The sequence below is a fragment of the Homo sapiens genome, chromosome X (assembly GCF_000001405.40).
Source record: "Homo sapiens chromosome X, GRCh38.p14 Primary Assembly".
Taxonomy (NCBI): Eukaryota; Metazoa; Chordata; class Mammalia; order Primates; family Hominidae; genus Homo; species Homo sapiens.
Window position 1 is genome coordinate 47,332,669 of NC_000023.11, and position 21,624 is coordinate 47,354,292.

The 21,624-nt window shown below is 44.5% G+C and overlaps 1 non-coding gene across 1 annotated transcript; it reads right to left on the minus strand.

Annotated features, from left to right (window-relative positions):
• Window positions 1-19,174: 19,174 nt before the first annotated feature.
• On the minus strand, window positions 19,175-19,281 carry LOC124905264 (U6 spliceosomal RNA). The gene has a single exon (XR_007068418.1). It is a non-coding gene; the product is annotated as a U6 spliceosomal RNA (small nuclear RNA).
• Window positions 19,282-21,624: the final 2,343 nt, after the last annotated feature.

Here is a 21,624-nt window from a genome sequence, read left to right on the forward strand (position 1 = left end):
GATTCGTGTGCCTCAGCCTCCCAAGTAGCTGGGATTACAGGGGTGTACCACCACAACCGACTAAGTTTTGTATTTTTAGTAGAGACAGGGTTTCCCCATGTTGCCCAGGCTGGTCTCAAACCCCTGACCTCAGGGGATCCACCCACCTCAGCCTTTCAAAGTGCTGGGATTACAGGCGTGAGCCACCAGGCCTGGCCTTCACTTTTTTTTTTTTCCAAGACAGGTTCTCCGTCGGTTGCCCAGGCTGGAGTGCAGTTGCACAATCACAGCTCACTGCAGCCTTGACCTCTTGGGTTCAAGCGGTCCTCCCACCTCAGCCTCCTGAGTAGCGGGGACTGCAGGCTCACACCAACAGGCTCAGCTAGTTTTTATATATTTTGTAGAGCCAGGGACTCCCTATGTTGCCCAAGCTGGTCTGGAACTCCTGGGCTCAAGCAATCTGTCCACCTCAGCCACCTAAAGTGCTAGAATGACAGGCATGAGCCACTGTGCCCGACTAGAAAGGATATTATTGAGACAAGTGGTAAAACTTGAATGGAGTTTGAGGATTAGATGGTAGCAACATATTACATCATTTCCTGATTTTGATGGCTGTATTTTGGTTATATAAGAGCACGTTCTCATTTGTAGGAAATACACATTAAAGCATTCAGGGCTGATGAGGCATCAGGTTAGCAACTTAATTTTTTTTTTTTTTTTTTTGAGATGGAGTCTTGCACCGTTGCCTGGGCTGGAGGGCAATGACACGATCTTGGCTCACTGCAACCTCTGCCTCCCGGGTTCAAGTGATTTTCCTGCCTCAGCCTACCGAGTAGCTGGGATTACAGGCGCCCGCCACCACGCCCAGCTAATTTTTTGTTATTTTTAGTAGAGATGGGGTTTCACTATATTGGCCAGGCTGGTCTTGAACTCCTGACCTCGTGATCCACCCCCCCACCACCCTTGGCCTCCCAAAGTGCTGGCATTACAGGCGTGAGCCACCATGCATGGCCTTTAATTTTTTTTTTTTTCTAACCCAAGTATGTGACCAAGCACTTTAATTTTAAGTAGTTCAAAAAGAAAAGTTATGTGTACTATACCTGTGACTTTTCTGTAAGCTTGGGATTTTTTCAAAGCAATATATTGTTTAAAACATCAACCAAGGTTATCTGCACAATTTTTTTTTTTTTTTTTGAGACAGAGTTTCATTCTTGTTGCCCAGGCTGGAGTGCAATGGCACGATCTCGGCTCATTGCAACCTCTGCTTCCTGGGTTCAAGCAATTTTCCTGCCTCAGCCTCCCGAGTAGCTGGGATTACAGGCGCGTACCACCACACCGGACTAATTTTTGTATTTTTAGTAGAGATGGGGTTTTGCCGTGTTGGCCAGGCTGATCTTGAACTCCTGACCTCAGGTGATCCACCTACCTTGGCCTCCCAAAGTGCTGGGATTACAGGAATGAGCCACTGCGCCAGGCCTGTTTTTTTGTTTTTGCTTTTTGTTTTGCTTTGTTTTTGAGACAGGATCTCGCTCTGTTGCCCAGGCTGGAGTGCAGTAGCGCTATCTCAGCTCACTGCAGCTTCTGCCTCCTGGGTTCAAGCGATTCTCGTGTCTCAGCCTCCCCAGCAGCTGGTACTACAGGCGTGTGCCACCTCGCCTGCCTAAGTTTTGTATTTTTGGTAGAGACTGGGTTTCACCATGTTGCCTAGGCTGGTCTCGAACTCTTGACCTTAAGTGATCCTCCCACCTTGGTCTCTCAAAGTGCTGGGATTACAAGCATGAGCCACCACACCTGGCACTTTTTATTTTTTTAAACTAAAAAAGAAAGGCTAGGCTTGATGGCTCAAGCCTGTAATCCCAGTACTTTGAGAGGCTGAGGTGGGAGGATTGCTTGAGGCCAACAGTTTGAGACCAGCTATGCCACTTCATACGCTTGCTATATTGATAGCAAGACCCTGTCTCTACAAAAACTTTAAAAATTAGCTGGGCGTGGTGGTGCATGCCTGTAGTCCTAGCTACTGAGGAGGGTGAGGTGGGAGGAAGGCCTGAGACTGGGAGGTAGAGGCTGCAGTGAGCTATAATCCAGCCACTGCACTTCAGCCTAGGCAACTGAGTGAGACTCTGTCTGTAATTTAAAAACAAAAACAAACAAAAACTACCTAGTGGAATCTGTAAGATACAGCTAAATTGAAACAAGAAAAATCATTGCCTCAAAAACTTACCTTAACAAGAAAAAAGTGATGATGAATGAATTGACTATCCAATTCAAGAAGGAAGAGGGGACGGGGCGCGATGGCTCACGCCTGTAATCCCAGCACTTTGGCAGGCCGAGGCGGGCAGATCACCTGAGGTCAGGAGTTCAAGACGAGCCTGGCCAACTTGGTGAAACCCCGTCTCTACTAAAAATACAAAAGTTAGCCGGGCGTGGTGGTGCATGCCTGTAATCCCAGCTACTCGGGAAGCTGAGGCAGGGGAATCACTTCAAACCCAGGAAGTGGAGTTTGTAGTGAGCCGAGATCGAGCCACTGCACTCCAGCCTAGGCGACAAAGTGAGACTCCTTGTCGAAAAAAAAAAAAAGAAGCAGAAGGAATAAATAGATAAAAGAAGAGATTAAATTATAAAATTGAAAAAGCAATAGCCCAAATATATAATTTCAAATAATTTTCCTTTGGACAATAAATATGGATAAGTCATTAGTGAATTAATTTGAACAAATACAGATAGTAAGGAGTACAAGAGAAGGGCCAGATGCAGTGGCTCATGCCTGTACCTTGGGAGGCCAAGGCGGGCGGATCACCTGAGGTCGGGAGAAAAAAAAAGGTGTTAATACAGTAGGAATAGTAGTTGAATTGTACTTATTATTATTATTATTGCTTTTTGTTTGTTTGTTTTTGAGACAGAGTCTCCCACTGTCACCCGGGCTGGAATGCAATGGTGCAATCTCGGTTCACTGCAACCTCCGCCTCCTGGGTTCAAGCAATTCTCCTGCCTCAGCCTCCCGAGTAGTTGGGATTACAGGTGCACACCACCACACCCAGCTAATTTTTTGTATTTTTAGTAGAGGCAGGGTTTCACTATGTTGGCCAGACTGGTCTCGAACTATTGACTTGGTGATCCGCCCCCCTCAGCCTCCCAAAGTGCTGGGATTACAGGCGTGAGCCACCGCTCCCGGCCAAATTTTATTTTTTAATGTTTGTTTGAGACAGGGTCTAGCTCTGTCTCCAGGCTGGAGAGCAGTGGTGCAATGATGGTTCACTGTGGCCTCAACATCCTGGGTTCAAGCGATCCTCCCACCTCAGCCTGGTGAGCAGCTGGGACTACAGGTGCTTGACACCAAGCCCAGCTAATTTTAAAAATTTTTTCGAAGAGGCTGGGTGCAGTGGCTCATGCCTGTAATCTCAGCACTTTGAGAGGCCAAGGTGGGTGGATCACTTGAGGCCAGGAGTTCAAGACCAGCCCTGCCAACATGGCAAAACCTGTCTCTACTAAAAGTACAAAAAATGAAAAAAAAAATTAGCTGGCCATGGTGGTGTGCCTGTGGTTCCAGCTACATGGGAGGCTGAAACATGGAATCGCTTGAACCCAGGAGGGGGAGGTTGCAGTGAGCTGAGATTGTGCCACTGCACTCCAGCCTGGGCGACAAAGTGAGACTACGTCTAAAAAAAAAAAAAAAAAAAAAGGCCAGGCGCTGTGGCTCACTCCTGTAATCCCTGTACTTTGGGAGGCCGAGGAGGGTGGATCACCTGAGATCAGGAGTTCGAGACCAACCTGGCCAACATGATGAAACTCCATCTCTACTAAAAATACAAAAAATTAGCTGAGTGTGTGTGGTGGCAGGTGCCTGTAATCCCAGCTACTCAGGAGGCTGAGGCAGGAGAATTGCTTGAACCCGGGAGGCAGAGGTTGCAGTGAGCCGAGATCGTGCCACTGCACTTCAGCCTGGGCAACAAGAGTAATACTTCGTCTCAAAAAAAATAAAAATTAAAAAATTTTAAAAATGGTTCTCCTGAGGCAGGAGAATTGCTTGAACCCGGGAGGCAGAAGTTGCAGTGAGCTGAGATTACATCACTGCATTGCAGCCTGGGCGACAGAGCGAGACCCTGTCTCACCTAAATAAATAAAGGAAAAGAAAAGAAAGCCATATCTCAACATATCATTTGTAATATAACGCAGGAAAATAATTCAGGAAATAAGCTTTTCAAAACACGGAACTGACACACCCACTCACTCACCCCAGTCGCCCATCATTCCTCACCCCGCAGACTCTCTATTAGTGACCCCATAGATAGACACAACTTGGCTTTCCCCTGCCCCTATACCTGAGCGAAGTCGTCATTCCTGACACAAGCCAGTGTCTAGGTGATTCGCTGTCCAAAGACCCCTTCTGCCTTACATCTGGCCCCGTCTCTCACTCCTGGCTTATATAATTGCTGCCTTTCGCATCCTCCTTAGCAGCTGTGAAGTCTCAGTTTGTCCACAGCCAATATGGCCTTGGTGGCCTTGAGGGTCTTGCTCCTTCGGGTGCTTGGGGGCTGTCCGTCTGTCCGCAGTGACGCCTCCCAAGGCGCAGCTTCTCCAGCAAGTGGGGCTCAGGTGTGGGGGCAGTGCAGGTGGCAGCCAGGGGTGGGGTGAGGTGGGGTTGGGCGTGGAGTTGGGCATGGAGTTGGGTAGACAGAGGTTGGAGTGTTGGAACTGTGTCTCACAATGTGACGTCTGGAGAACTCAAAGACATAAAACTCTAAAAACACATAAAGTCAATTATAGAGATATAAAAAGTCTATACACATACGTGATATATGTTGGATTTTAAGATCATTTTCATAAAAATTATTGAAACTTGTAACAGTTACAAGCCAGTTCGTTATACTTTTTATTACCTTTGGTTCATGTGCTTTAAGTTTCCATAATAAGAACTTTTTAAAAGGCTGAAGTGCAATGGTGTGATCTCAGCTTACTGCAACCTCTGCCTCCTGGGTTCAAGCAATTCTCCTGCCTCAGCCTCCCAAGTAGCTGGGATTACAGGCATGCACCACCATGCCTGGCTAATTTTATTTTATTTTATTTTTTTAGACAGAGTCTCACTCTGTCACCCGGGCTGGAGTGCAGTGGCGCGATCTCGGCTCACTGCAACCTCTGCCTCCCGGGTTCAAGCGATTCTCCTGCTTCAGCCTCCCAGGTAGCTGGGATTACAGGCGCCTGCCACCGCGTCTGGCTAATTTTTTGTATTTTTAGTAGAGACGGGGTTTCACCATGTTGGCCAGGCTGGTCTCAAATTCCTGACCTCGTGATTCGCCTGTCTCGACCTCCCAAAGTGCTGGGATTACAGGCTTGAACCACTGCGCCCAGCCCTATTTTTGTATTTTTAGTAGAGACGGAGTTTCACCATGTTGGTCAGGCTGGTCTCGAACTCCTGGCCCTCAGGTGATCCACCTGCCTCAGCCTCCCAAAGTGCTGAGATTACAGGTGTGAGCCACTGCGCCTGGCCCTTCTTATTTACTTTTGAGATAGGGTCCCATTGTGTCACCCAGGCTGGAGTGTAGTGGCGCAATTTCCGCTCATTACAGCGTTCACCTCCCCAGCTCAAGCAATCCTCCCACCTCAGCCTCCTGAGTACCAGCTCAACTAGTTTTTGTATTTTTTGTAGAGACAGGGTTCTCCCTATATTGTCCAGGCTGGTCTGGAACTCCTGGGCTCAAGCAACCTGCCCACCTCAGCCTCCCAAAGTGGTGGGATTACAAGTATGAACCACTGCCTGGTTACATGTAGTATTGACCTTATATCCTTCTGCATCTGTGATTGCATTTCCTTATATATATGTATGTGTAGTGTGTGTGTGTGTGTGTATGTGGTGTGTGTGTGTATCCTACTCATGTATTGCTGTATAACAGATTACCCCTCACCATGTTGGCAGAGGGTGTGCTTCTGTTGTACCAAATGGAAACCACCTGAGATGGCACCCATCACCTAGAAGCCACCCACCGACAAAGCCACGCTAACACTGAGGTACCAGAAATAAGGAAAGTCCTTATGACTCTGAGAGACCTGAAGGGGGTTTGTGGGGTGAGTGGTGGGGTCTGTTTGGTAAGTAATGATATAGTCTATGAATACAATGATGGGGAAGTCTGTGGCCTGAGTGCTGGGGGTTCTGGCATCCTGTAGGCTGAGTGATGGACTCTGTGGGGTTAGGTATGCAGCGTTGGGGCAGTGAGTGACAGGAGTGGCTCCATCATGGCTTACTGCATCCTTGACCTCCTGGGCTCAAGCAATCCTCCCACCTCAGCCTCCTGAGTAGCTGGGACCACAGGCACGTGCCACGATGCCTGGCTAATTTTTTAGTTTTTTTGTAGAGGCGGGGTTTCACGTGCTGCCCAGGCTGGTCTTGAACTCCTGGGCTCAAGTGATCTGCCTGCTTCAACCTCCCAAAGTGCTGGGATTACAGGCATGACCCACCTCGCCTGGCCAATTTTCATTTCTCTAGGATAAATGCCCAAGAATGCAACTGCTACATTGTATGTTTAATTTTATAAGAAACTTACCAAACCATTTTCCAGGGCGGTTGTACCTTTCTGCATTAGCACTAGCAATCTAAGAATGATCAAGTTTCTCCATATCCTAGACACCATTTGGTGTCACTATATTTTATTTCAGGTGCTCCAGTATATGTATACTGATATCTCATTGTAGTCAAAATTTGTATTTCACTAATGGCCAGTGATGTTGAACATCTTTTCATGTACTTATTTGCCACCTGTATACCCTCTTTAGTGAAATATCTCTTCATGTCTTTTGGCCATTTTCCAATTGGATTATTTGTTTTTATCCGACTGAGTTTTGAGAGTTCCTTAAATATTCTGGAAAGTGGTCCTTTGTGAGATATATAGTTTGCCAATACAGTTTGTTCAGGTAAATGATAGGCATTTTAAAATTTGTATGTCTATATCTGTGATTAGATCTATGCAATATATCTCACAAAGTATATATCTCAAAACACGTTTATGAGCCTAATGGGTTTTATAGCATTATTTCCTTATTATCTTTGTAATGGCTTTGTAAGATGTATAGTTTGCCAATATTTTCTCCCGGTCTGTAACTTGTCTTTTCACCTTCCATCTTCACATGAGATTTTATAGAATAAAAGTTTTACATTTTTGATGAGGGACAGTTGATCAAGTTTTCCTTTAATAGATCATGCTTTTGGTGTCAAGTTTAAGAACTCTGGGCCGGGCGCAGTGGCTCATGCCTGTAATCCCAGCACTTTGGGAAGCTGAGGCGGGTGGATCATGAGGTCAAGAGATCAAGACCATCCTGGCCAACATGGTGAAACACCGTCTCTAATAAAAATAGAAAAAATTAGCTGGGCGTGGTGGCGCGTGTCTGTAGTCCCAGCTACTCGGGAGGCTGAGGCAGGAGAATGGCTTGAACCCAGGAGGCGGTGGTTGCAGCGAGCCGAGATCGTGCCACTGCACTCCAGCCTGGCGACAGAGCAAGACTCCGTCTCAAAAAAAAAAAAAAAAAGAACTCTGCCCATCTCCGCTGGGTGCGGTGGCTCATGCCTGTAATCCCAGCACTTTGGGAGGCCGAGGCGGGCAGATCACTTGAGATCAGGAGTTCGAGACCAGCTGGGCCAACATGGTGAAACCTCGTCTCTATTAAAAATACAAAAATTAGCTGGGCGGGGTGTTGTACGCCTGTAGTCCCAGCTACTCGGGAGGCTGAGGCAGGAGAATCGCTTGAACCTGGGAGGCGGAGGTTGCAGTGAGCCAAGATTGCACCACTGCACTCCAGCCTGGGTGACAATAGCAAAACTCCATCTCAAAACAAAAACCAAGAACTCTGCCCATCTCAAAATTCCAAAAAATTTTTTCCTATGCCTTTTTCCTACAAGTTTTATAGTTTTACATTTTGCACTAACTTTCGTGTAAGATGTGACTGAGTTTGAGGCTCAGTTTTTCCCTATGGATCTCCACTTGCTCCAGCACCAGTTGTTGAAAAGTCTATCCTTCTCCATTATATTGCTTTTGTAACCATACTTGTGTGGGGCTTCTTCTGGGTTTTCTATTCTGTTTCATTGATTTATGTGCCAATTCCTCCACCAATACCGCACTGTCATGATTAATGTGGCTATATCGTAAGCTTTAATACTGAATAGAATGATTCCTTCTACTTTGTTCTTCTATCTCAAAATTGCCTTAGCTATTCTAGTTCCTTTGTCATTCCGTATTAATTTGAAACAATTATTGTCTATGTCTGTGAAAAATCTTTGTTGGGATTTTGATAGGAATTGCATTAAACTTAGGTACCAATTTTGGGGAAAATGGGCATTTTTTTTTGAGATGGGGTCTCACTCTGTCACCTGGGTTGGAGTGTAGTGGGGCAATCTCGATTCACTGCCTCCACCTCCCAGGCTCAAGTAATCATCCCACCTCAGCCTCTGAGTAGCTGGGACTACAGGCATGTGCCACCATGCCTAGCTAATTTTTTTTTTTTTGGTAGAGATGGGGTTTTGCCATGTTTTCCAGGCTGGTCTTGAACTCCTGAGCTCAGGAGTTCCAGCCACCTTGGCCTCCCAAAGTGCTGGGATTACAGGCGTGAGCCACCATGCCCAGCCTGAAAATGGGCATATTTACTGTGTTGAGCTTTCCAATCCATGAACACAGCATGCCTCTCCATTTATTTAGTCTTTTTTTATTTTATCAGGATTTCGTAATTTCATCATATAGATCCTGTGTAAGTTTTGTTAGGTGTACACCCACATATTTCCTTTTCTTAGGACTAATTGTAAGTTGTATTGTATTTTAAATGTCAGTTTCTATATGTTTATTGTTAGTATACAGTGTGATTGTTTTGCTTGTTGATCTTTTTTTTTTTAGAGATGGGGTCTCCCTCTGTTACCCAGGCTGGAGTACAGTGACACAGTCATAGCTTACTGCAACTTTGAACTCCTGGGCTCAAGGGACCCTCCCACGTAGCTGGGACGACAGATGCATGCCACCATCCTTGGCCAACTCTGTTTCAGTAAAGATGGGGTCTTGCTATGTTGCCCAGGCTGGTCTCAAACTCCTGGCCTCAAGCAAGCCTCCTGCCTTAGCCTCTGGAATAGCCAGGATTACAGGTGCAAGCCACCACACCCAGCTCTTTCTTGTTTTTGCTTGTTGATCTTGTATTCAGCAATCTCACTGAGCTCCCTGATGAATTCTAGTCGGCTTTTTTTTTTTCTGTAGATTTCTTGGGATATTTTACATAGATAATCATATCATTTACAAATAGGGACAGTTTTATTTTTCCCTTTACAATTGGTATGCTTGTATTACCTTCCTTGTGTTATGGTGACTAGAACTTTTAGTACTATGTTGAATAAGAATGGTGAGAGAAGGCCGGGTGTGATGGCTCATGCCTGTAATCCCAGCACTTTGGGAGGCCAAGGAGGAGGATCACTTGAGTCCAGGAGTTGGAGACCAGCCTGGGCAATATGGTGAAACCCTGTCCCTACAAAAAACACAAAAATCAGCTGGGCATGGTGGCACACACCTGTGGCCCCAGCTACTTGGGAAGGCTGAGGTGGGAGGATCGCTTGAGCTTGAGAGGTCAAGACTGCAGTGAACTATAATCTCGCCACTGCATTCCAGCCTAGGTGACAGAGTGAGACCCTGTCAAAAAATAATAATAATAATAAATAATAATAAAAATAAAAAATAAAAAAAAGAAGAAAAGAAAAAGAATGGTGAGAGAAGACATTTTTGCTCCCTATCTTAGGGGGAATAATTCAGTCTTTCACCAATAATGTGATGTTAGCTGTAGGTTTTTTGTAGATGCTCTTTATCAAGTTGAGGGCATTCTCCTCTATTTCTAACTTGCTGAGACTTTTTTTTTTTTTTTTTTTTGAGATGGAGTCTCGCTCTGTCACCCAGACTGGAGTGCAGTGGCTCAATCTCAGCTCACTGCAACCTCCGCCTCCTGGGTTTGAGCAATTCTCCTGTCTCAGCCTCCTGAGTAGCTGGGACTACAGGTGCCCACCACCACACCTGGCTAATTTTTGTATTTTTAGTAGAGACGGGGTTTCACCACATTGGTCAGGCTGGTCTCGAACTCCTGACCTCAGGTGATCCACCCACTTTGGCCTTACAAAGTGCTGGGATTACAGGCATGAGCCACTGCGCCCAGCTGCTGAGACTATTTTTTAAAAAACAAGAATTTGTGTTGGATTTTTTCAGATGTCTTCTCTACATCTACTAATGTGATTGTATAATTTTTCTTCTTAGGTTGTTAATATGGTGGATGATATTGATTGATTGTCAATATTGAACCAATATGCAATATTAAACCAATATTGCATATCTTGAATTAATCTCACTTGGTCATGGTTTATAGCTCTTTTAATACATTGTTGTATTTGGTTTGCTAATATTTTGTTGAGGATTTTTGTGTCTGGGTTCATAAAGGATATTGGTTTGCAGATTTCTTTCTTTCTTTCTTTCTTTCTTTCTTTCTTTCTTTCTTTCTTTCTTTCTTTCTTTCTTTCTCTCTCTCTCTCTCTCTTTCTTTTTTTCTTTTTTTAGATGAAGTCTCGCTCTATCACCCGGGCTGGAGTGCAGTGGCGCGATCTCGGCTCACTGCAATGTCCACCTCCCGGGTTTGAAGTGATTCTCCTGCCTCAGCCTCCCGAGTAGCTGGGATTACAGGTGTGCACCACCACGCCCAACTAATTTTTGTATTTTTAGTAGAGACGGGGTTTCACCATATTGGTCAGGCTGGTCTCGAACTCCCGACCTCAGGTGATCTGCCCACCTCAGCCTCCCAAACTACCGGGATTACAGGTGTGAGTCACCGCTCCCGGCCAGATTTATTGTTTAATGTTGGCATTGGCTGAGTGCAGTGGCTCATGCCTGTAATCCCAGCACTTTGGGAGGCTGAGGCAGGTGGATCACAAGGTCAGGAGCTTGAGACCAGCCTGACCAACATGGTGAAACCCCGTCTCTGCTAAAAATACAAAAATTAGCCGGGTGTGGTGGCAGGTACCTGTAGTCCCAGTTACTCGGAAGGCTGAGGCAGGAGAATTGCTTGAACTGGGGAGGCGGAGGTTGCAATGAGCCAAGATCTTGCCATTGCACTCCAGCCTGGGCGACAGAGCGCAACTCCATCTCAAAAAAAAAAAAAAAGTTGGCATTGCCTGTTTTTGTCTCGGGGTAATTCTAATGTCATAAAAGGAGTTGAGAAATGTTCTCTTCTGTTTTCTATAAGTGATTACGTAAAAGTGCTGTTAATTCTTCTTTAAATGTTTGGTAGAAATCTCCAGTGAAACCATCTAGATTTGGAGATTTCATTTCTTTGAGCTTTTAAATTATAAATTCATTTAAATTTATTTAATGGTCATTCAGATTATTTACTTCATCTTAGTTAAGTTTTGGTAGTTTGGGATATCTGAGGAATTGGTCCATTTTGTCTAAGTTATCAAGTTTATGAGCAGAACGTGTTTTGTAGTATTATTCTCTTATTATCTTTGTAATGTCTTCAGAATCAGCAATGATAAGCCCTATTTTATTTCTGATATTTGTGATTTGTGTCTTTTAATATTTGTCAGTCTTCCTAGAGGATTATAAATTTTATTGAACTTTTTTTTTTTTTGAGACAGAGTCTTACTCAGTCGCCCAGGCTGGAGTGCAGTGGCGCAATCTCGGCTCACTGCAACCTCCGCCTCCCAGGTTCAAATGATTCTTCTGCCTCAGCCTTCCAAGTAGCTGAGATTACAGGTGCCCGCCACCATGCCCAGCTAATTTTTGTATTTTTAGTAGAGACGGGGTTTCACCATGTTGGTCAGGCTGGTCTTGAACTCCTGACCTCAGGTGATCTGCTCATGTTGGCCTCCCAAAGTGCTGGGATTACAGGCATGAGCGAACTTTTTGAATTACCAGTTTATTTATGCTTTTTTTTTTTTTATTTGAGTCAGGGTCTCACTTTGTCGCCCAGGCTGGAGTGCAGTGGCGAAATCTGGCTTGCTGCAGCCTCGACCTCCCAGACTCAAGTGATCCTCCCACCTCAGCCTCCTGAGTAGCTGGGACTACAGGTGTGCACCACCACACCCAGCTAATTTTTTAATTTTTCTGTAGAGACAGGGTCTTACTATGTTGACCAGGATGGTCAAACTCCTGACCTCAAGGGATCCTCCCACCTTGGCCTCCAAAAGTGCTGGGATTACAGGCATGAGCTCAACCTGATTGTGTTTTGAACATCTTCTATAACCTTGCTGATTTATGTCTAGTAGTTATATAAGATGGGGAGCAGTGGGTATTGATGTTTCCAACTATAATTGTGGATATAAGAATTTCTCCTTTTAGCTCTATCATTTTTTGCTTAATGTATTTTGAGGCTCTGTTGTTTAGTGCATAAATAATTAGGATATTTATGATTTGCTGGTGGATTGATTGGTACTTCTATCATTATGCAATATTTCTCTTTTTCTCTAGTAATTTTCTTTTCTCTGAAGTCTACCTTATCAGGTTTTAATAAAGCCACTTCATTATTTTTCATTAATATTTGCATGGTATAGCTTTTTTTTTTTTTTTTTTCTTTTTTGAGGCAAGGTCTTGCTCTGTTGCCCAGGCTGGAGTGCCGTGATGTGATTATGGCTCACTGCTGCTTCGACCTCCTGGGCTCAAATGATCCTCCCACCTCAGCCACCTGAGTAGCTGGGACCACAGGTATGCACCACCACACCCGGCTAATTTTTTGATTTTTTTGTAGAGATGAGGTCTGGCTATGTTATCTGGGCTGGTCTTGAACTCCTGGACACAAGCAATCCTCTTGCCTCAGCCTCCCAAAGTGCTGAGATTACAGGTATGAGCCACCCAGCCCGGCTAAATGTCTGTCTTTGAATTGGCATGTTTAGACCATTTACATTTGAGGCAGTTATTGCTATGTCAACACTTGTGTTTTTCATTTTATTATTTGTTTTCTGTTTGTTTTCTTTGGTTCTTGGTCCTTTGTTTTTCTTGTCTTACTGTGGGTTACTTGAATACTTTTTAGAATTCTATTTTGATTTATTTAATGTTTTCGAGTGTATCTTCTTCCTTGCATAGTTTTCATAGTGATTGTTCTGGGTATTAAAATACGCATGTGTCTCTTAGTCTCTTGTCACAGTCTACTGTGTTTTTTTTTTTTTTTTAGAAGGAGTTTTGCTCTTGTTCCCCAGGCTGGAGTGCAATGGAGCGATCTCGGCTCATGCAACCTCCGCCTCCCCGGGTTTAAGTGATTCTCCTGCCTCAGCCTCCTTAGTAGCTGGGATTACAGGCGCCCGCCACCACGCCCAGCTAATTTTTTGTATTTTTAGTAGAGACAGGGTTTCATTATGTTGGCCAGGCTGGTCTCGAACTCCTGACCTCAGGCAATCCACCCGTCTCAGCCTCCCAAAATGCAAGGTTTACAGGCGTGAGCCACCACTCCCAGCTCAGTCTACTGTGTCAATAACGGTGTCTTTTTTTTTTTTTTTAAATAGTGGTAATCTTCCTGCTATTAACCGTGTCTTTTACTTTCTGTTTTCTGATCCTTTACCATCTGGAGCTTTGCTGACTATGGAGGAGCTGTCCCTTCCAGGCTTCACCAATTCCTAGAGATAGTAGGCAACTTGTCCCTGGGTGTACCTTTCAAATGCAAACCAGCCAATCCAGAGTCTGTAACCCCAACCATCTCTTCTATGGGGCTGTCACATTCTTGGCCACTATCCCTCTGTCCTAACCATGCCAGGGGCAGGCAACTAGAAACTGTCTCTATGCCCCATATGCTGAAATTATTCAAACAAGCTAATCCTAAACCTTCTTACCCTGCATTGCCAGAGACAGAGAGATGGAGATGCATGTTATGGTGTCTTTTTTTTTTTGAAACAGAGTCTTGCACTGTCGCCCCAGCTGGAGTGCAGTGGTGCGATCTCAGCTCGCTGCAACCTCCACCTCCCGGGTTCAAGCAATTCTCCTGCCTCAGCCTCCTGAGTAGCTAGGATTACAGGCATGTGACACTACGTCTGGCTGATTTTTTGTATTTTTAGTAGAGATGAGGTTTCACCATGTTTGCCAGGTTATTCTTGAACTCCTGACCTTGCGATCCACCCGCCTCGGCCTCCCAAAGTGCTGGGATTACAGGCGTGAGCCACCATGCCTGGCCTTTTTTCTTTCTTTTTTTTTTTTTTTTTGAGGCAGGGTCTCACTCTATTGCCCCGGCTGGAGTGCAGTGACATGATCTCAGCTTACTACAACTTGTGCCTCCCAGGTTCAAGCAGTTCTCCCGCCTCAGCCTCTCTAGTAGGGATTACAAGTGTGTGCCACCACGCCCAGCTAATTTTTTGTACTTTTTAGTAGAGACAGGGTTTCACCATGTTGGCCAGGCTGGTCTTGAACTTCTGACCTCAAGTGATCCACCTGCCTTGGCCTCCCAAAGTGCTGGGATCACAGGCATGAGCCGCCGTGCCTGGCCTGGTGTCTCTCTCTCTTTTTTTTTTTTTGTGGAGATGGAGTTTCGTTCTTGTGCCCAGACTGGAGTGCAATGGCGTGATCTTGGCTCACTGCCACCTCTGCCTCTGGGGTTCAAGCGATTATCCTGCCTCAGACTCCTGAGTATCTGGGATTACAGGCGCCTGCCACCATGCCCAGCTAATTTTTTGTATTTTTAGTAGAGACGGGGTTTCACCGTGTTAGCCAGGATTCCTTCCCTCCCTTCCCTCCCTTCCCTCCCTTCCTTCCTTCCCTCCCCACTCTTCCTTCTTTTTTCTTTCCTTCTTTCTCTTTTTCCCTTCCTTTCTTTCTTTCTTTCTCTCTTTCTTTCTTTCCTTCCTTCCTTTCCTTCCTTCCTTCTCTCTCTCTCTTTCTTTTTTCCCTCCCTCCCTCCCTTCTTTCCTTCCTTCCTTCCTTCCTTCCTTCCTTCCTTCCTTCCTTCCTTCTTTCTTCTTTCCTTCTTTCTAAGGGTCTGGCTCTGTCTCCCAGGCTGGAGTGCAGTGGCGCAATTCCCGCTCACTGCATCCTCCACCTACTGGGCTCAAGTGATCCTCCCACCTCAGCTTCCTGAGTAGCTGAGACTATAGGTGCATGCCACCATGCCTGGCTAATTTTTGTATTTTTTTTTTTTTTTGGTAGATGTGGGGGTTTCACCATGTTGCTCAGGCTGGTCTTGAACTCCTGGGCTCAAGCAATTTGCCCACCTTGGCATCCCAAAGTGCTGTGATTACAGGTGTGAGCCACCGTGACCAGCCAAACTATCTTTTCAATGGCAGTTATCTACTGACCTGTTGGCCTTATGGCATCTGAATAAGAAACACCTATTGTCTTCCTTTGTTTAGGCTGCTCTCTCAAAATATCATAGACTGGGTAATTTGTAAACAACAGAAATGTACTGCTTACAATTCTGGAGGCTGGGAAATCCAAGATCAAGGAGGCGGCAGATTCAGTGTCTAATGAGGACTCATTCCTCATGGATGGTGCCTTCTATGTCTTCTCGCATGGCAGAAGGGGACAACAAGCTCCTTCAGGCCTCTTTCATAAGGTCACATCACTAAATCCTACTTATGAGTGCAGAGCCTTTATAATCTATTCACCTCCTACAGGCCCAACTCTTAATACTATTGCTCTGGAGATTAAGATTTACTGTATGAGTTTTGTATGAATTCAGAATATATATATATATATATTTGTTTGTTTCTTCCTTTTTTGTTTTTTGAGACAGAATCTCACTCTGTCTCCCAGGCTGGAGTGCAGTGGTGCAATCTCGGCTCACTGCTACCTCCGCCTCCTGGGTTCAAGCAATTCTCCTGCCTCAGCCTCCCAAGTAGCTGGGATTACAGGCATGCACCACCACGCCCAGCTAATTTTTGTATTTTTAGTAGAGATGGGGTTTCATCATGTTGGTCAAGGTGGTCTTGAACTCCTGAGCTCAAGTGTTCCACCCACCTCAGCCTCCCAAAGTGCTGGGATTACAGGCGTGAGCCACCACACCTGGCCTCATATTTTAAACCTATAGGTACTAATAATTTCTCACTTTCTGTGAAATGTGGAAACCTCACTTTCATTTAGGTTCTTTACCTAACCCACTTTTAAATATCATTGCTTTAGTATCAAATGGTATTATAATTTTTGTTTCAATCATCAAATATGGTATATAAAACTCATGAGGCAAAGGAGAGTCTATTTTATGCACTCGTATTTCTGCTCTTTTCATTGAGCGTTTTTCCTTCCTGATGCTCCAAGAATTTTTCTTCTTTTCCTTTGTTTGTTTGTTTCTTTTTCTTTTTCTTTTTCTTTTTTTTGAGACAGGGTCTCACTCTGTTGTCCAGGCTAGAGTGCAGTGGTGCCATTATAATTCTCTGTAACCTTGAACTCCTGGGCCCAGGTGGTCCTCCTGCCTCAGCCTCTGGAGTTACTGAGACTACAGGAGTGCACCACCATGCCTAGCTAATTTTGAATTTTTTTGTAGAGATGGGGGTCTTGCTATGTTGCTCAAGCTAGTCTCAAACTCCTATCCTCAAGCAATCCTTCAGCCTCAGCCTCCCAAAGTGCTGGGATTACAGGTGTGAGCCACTGCACCTAGCTGAATCTTTCTTTTCTCATTTTCTTTTTCTTTTCTTTTCTTTTTTTTTTTTTTGAAGAACTTCCTTAGTCAGTTGTTAAGGGTAGGCCTGCTAGCAACAGATTATTAAGTTTTCCTGTCTATGTCTTTATTTCCCTTTTTACCTGACAGTTTCACCAGATATAGAATTTGTAGTTGACAGCTCTTTTCTTTCCAGCACTTTGAAAAATGTTATGCTACTTCCTCCTGACCTCCAGATGAGAAATCTCCTGTCTTTTTTTTTCCTTTTTTTTCCTGCTCAGGAAAGGAAGAATGCTGACATTTAAATTGATGTTCTGCTATGAGTAATGCTTGTTTCTCTCTGGCTGCTTTCATGTTATTTTCATTTTCTTTAGCTTTCAAAAGTTTTTTTTTTGTTTGTTTGTTTTTGTTTTTTGAGATGGCGTTTCGTTCTCATTGCCTAGGCTGGAGTGCAGTGGCATCATCTTGGCTCACCGCAACCTCTGCCTCCCAGGTTCAAGCGATTCTCCTGCCTCAGCCTCCCGAGTAGCTGGGATTACAGGCATGCACCACCACACCTGGATAATTTTGCATTTTTTGTATAGACAGGGTTTCACCACATTGGTCAGGCTGGTCTTGAACTCCCGACCTCAGGTGATCCGCCCACCTCAGCCTCCCAAAGTGCTGGGATTACAGGCATGAGCCACCACGCCCGGCAAAAGTTTTATTATAATATATCTAGACATGGACTTCTTTGAGTTTATCCTCTTTGAGATTCCCTCTGCTTCTTGGATTTGTAGGTTTGTGTCCTTTGCCAAATTTGGGACATTTCATTCATTATTTCTTCAAATTCTCTTTTGGCCTCATTGCCTTTCTTTTGTTGTGGGACTTCCATGGTATGAATACTGGGTGATATGGTTTGGCTCTGTGTCCTCATCCAATTTTCATGTAGAATTGTAATCCTCACATTTCAGAGGAAGGACCTAGTGGGAGGTGATTGGATCATGTGGGCAGATTTTCCCCATGCTGTTCTCTTGATAACGAGTGAGTTCTCACAAGATCTGATGGTTAAAAAGTGTAGCACTTCCCCTCTTTGCGTGCTCTCTCTCTCTCCTGCCACCATGTAAGACGTGCCTTGCTTCTCCTTCCCCTTCCACCATGATTGAATTGTAAGTTTCCTGAGGCTTCCCCAGTCATTTGGAACTGTGAGTCAATTACACCTCTTTTCTTTATAAATTACCTAGTCTCAGGTTGTTCTTTACAGCAGTGTGAAAATGAACAAATAAGGCTGGGCGTGGTGACTCATGCCTTTAATCCCAGCACTTTGGGAGGCCAAGGCGGGTGGATCACCTGAGGTCAGGAGTTTGACACCAGCCTGACCAACATGGAGAAACCATGTCTCTACTAAAAATACAAAATTAAAAATACAAAAAAATTAGCCGGGCATGGTGGTGGGTGCCTGTAGTCCCAGCTACTCAGGAGGCTGAGGCAGGAGAATGGCATGAACCTGGGAGGCAGAGCTTGCAGTGAGCCAAGATCACGCCACTGCACTCCAGCCTGGGTGAAAGAGCAAGAGTCAAAAAATAAATAAATAAATAAAAATATAAAAAAATAAATAAAAAATAAAAATACAAAATTAGCCAGGCATCATGGCGCATGCCTGTAATCCCAGCTACTTGGGAGGCTGAGGCAGGGGAATCACTTGAACCTGGGAGGCAGAGGTTGCAGTGAGCCGAGATCACGCCATTGCACTCCAGTCTAGGCAACAAGAACGAAACACCGTCTCAAAAAAAAAAAAAGAAAAGAAAGAAAAGAAAAAGAAAACGAACGAATGCACTGGGTCTTTTGTTGTTGTCTCATAGGTTTTCGAAGCTCTGTTCAATATTTTCTGTCAGTTTTCACTCCTTTATTCATATTGGGTGAATTTTACTGATCTGTCTTCAAAAGTTAACTGATTCTATCTTCTGTCTTCTCCATTCTACTATTGAGCCCATCCAGTGAGATTTTTTTTTTTTTTGAGACGGATTTTCATTCTTGTTGCCCAAGCTGGAGTGTAATGGTGCAGTCTTGGCTCACTGCAACCTCTGCCTCCCAGGTTCAAGTGATTCTCCTGCCTCAGCCTCCCAAGTAGCTGGAATTACAGGCATGTTCCGCCACACCTGGCTAGTTTTTGTATTTCTAGTAGAGACAGGGTTTCACCATGTTGGCCAGGCTGGTCTCGAACTCCTGACCTCAAGTAATCTGCCCAGTTCGGCCTGCCAAAGTGCTGGGATTACAGGTGTGAGCCACCACACCAGGCCCCAGTGAGATTTAAAAAAATTTTTTTTTAATTTTGTTGTTGTTAATAGAAATGGGGTCTCACCATTTTCCTCAGGCTAGTCTCTAACACCTGGGCTCCCCACCTTGGCCTCCCAATGCTGGGATTACAGGTGTGAGCTACTGCCCCCGGCCGTGGTTTTTATTTCTGTTATTGCACTTTTCAGTTCTATATTTCCATTTTTTTGTATTAATAATTTCTATTTATTTGCTGGGATTTTTCTGTTTCCTTATTTGTTCCAAGAGAATTTGTAGAATTTGTAGTTGATTGCTGAAACTTTTTATGATGGCTGCTTTAAAACCCTTGTCAGATAATTCCATCATCTGAGTCATCTTTAAACAAAAAATTTTTTTTTTTAATTTGCATGTCATCCTTGCACAGGGGCCATGCTAATCTTCTCTGTATCATTCCAGTTTTAGCGTATGTGCTGCCAAAGTGAGCACATCTGAGTCATCTTGATGTTGGCGTGAGTTGGTTATCTTTTCGTATTCAAGTTGTGATTTTCTTGGTTCTTAGTATAATGTGTAATTTTCTATTGTATTCTGGCGATTTGTTTTTAATTAAAATTTTAAAATGGCCAAAAATTGTGTGTGTATATATATATATATATATATATCTATAGTACAACATAATGTTTTGAAATATATATACACTGTGGAATGGCTAAATTGAGCTAATTAACATGCATTACCTCACATATTTATCATGTTTTTGTGAGAATACTTGAAATCTATTCCCTTAGTAATTTATTTTATTTAATTAATTAATTTATTTATTTTGAGACAGGGTCTCACTTTGTTGCACAAGCTGGTGTGCAGTGGTGCAATCTGGGTTCATCTCAGCCTTGACCTCCCGGGCTCAGGTGATCCTCCCACTTCATCCTCCTGAGTAGCTGGGACTACAGGCACCTGCCACCATGCCCGGCTAATTTTTGTATTTTTTGTGGAGACAGGGTTTCTCCATGTTGTCCAGGCTGGTCTTGAAGTCTTGGGCTCAAGTGGTCCTCCCGCCTCGGCCTCCCAAAGTGCTAGGATTACAGGCGTGAGCCACCACACCCGACCAGCAATTTTCAAGAATACAACACCACCAGGCACACGGTGGCTCATGGCTGTAATCCCAGCACATTGGGAGGCCAAAGCAGAAAGATCACTTGAGCCCAGGAGCTTGAGACCAGGCTGGGCAACATAGCAAGAACTCATCTCTACAAATAAAAAATTAGCTGGGCGTGGTGGTGCACACTTGTGTTCCCAGCTACTCAGGAAGCTGAGGCAGGAGGATCACTTGAGCCCAGGAGACCGAGGCTGTAGTGAGCCGTGATTACGCCACTACACTCCAAAGACACAGGGAGACCCTGTATCTATTTAAAAAAAAAAAAAAGAGTACAGTACATTACTCTTAACTATAGTCACTGTGTTGTACAATAGATCTCACTTATTCCTAACTGAAATATTGTATCCTTCACCAACATCTCTCCAACCCCCTTCACCCCCAGCCCCTAGTAACCACCATTCTACTCTCTGCTTCTATGAGTTCAACTTTTTTAGATTCCACACATAAGTGAGACCATGTGATATTTGTCTTTCTGTGCCTGGCTTATTTCCTTATCATACTGTCCTCCAGGTTCATTATATAATTTCCTTTGGTTATGTATCTAGTAGGGAGATTGCTGGATCATATGGTAATTCTATTTAAATTTTTTTTGTGTGTGTGAGATAGGATATTGCCCTCTCCCCCAGGCGGGAGTGCAGTGGCACAATCAATCGCAGCTCACTATAGCCTCCACCTCTTGGGGTCAAGTGATCCTCTTGCCTCAGCCTCCCAAGTAACTGGGATTACAGGCGTGTGCCACCACACCCAGCTAATATTTGTATTTTTTGTAGAGACAGGGTCTTGCTATGTTGCCCAGGCTGGTCTCTACCTCCTGGGCTCAAGTGATACTCCCTCCTTGGCCTCCCAAAGTCCTGGGATTACAGGTGTCAGCTACTGTGCCTGGCCTATTTTTAATTTTTTGAGGTGCATCCTGGTCTATTATGTTAGGAGACTCGGAGTCCTATTTAAGTCTTATTTTAGCAGGCAGTCACTCTATTTAGGTTTATCATGTAGGTTTTGGCCTAGTTTTTCTGCTGTGTTTCTAATGGCGGTTTAGTCTTCAGAGCCTTTGTGGTGTTATTTTTGTCTGTTTGGTCTATCTGGTACCTCTGAGGCTCCCACTTGTCTCTGCTGGTGCTGCCTGACGAAGCAGGGGAAATTTCTACAGGCCAGGTCTCCACGTCTTTCTTTCTTTCTTTCTTTCTTTCAGGCCAGATCTCCACGTCTTTCTCTTTCTTTTCTTTCTTTCTTTCTTTCTTTCTTTCAGGCCAGATCTCCACGTCTTTCTCTTTCTTTTCTTTCTTTCTTTCCTTCTTTTTTCTTTCTTTCTTTCTTTCTTTCTTTCTTTCTTTCTTTCTTTCTTTCCTTCAGGCCAGATCTCCACGTCTTTCTCTTTCTTTTCTTTCTTTCTTTCTTTCTTTCTTTCTTTCTTTCTTTCTTTCTTTCTTTCTTTTCTTTTCTTTCTTTCTCAGAGTCTCACTCTGTCACCTGGGATGAAGGAGAGTGGCGTGATAATGGCTCACTGCAGGCTCGACCTCCTGGGCTCAAGTGATCCTCCTGCCTCAGCCTCTCGAGTAGCTGGGATCACAGGCATGTGATGTCACGCCTGGCTAATTTTTAATTTTTGGTAGAGGCAAGGTCTCCTCATGTTGCCCAGGCTGGTCTCGAACTCCTGGGCTCAAGCAATAGTCCCGCCT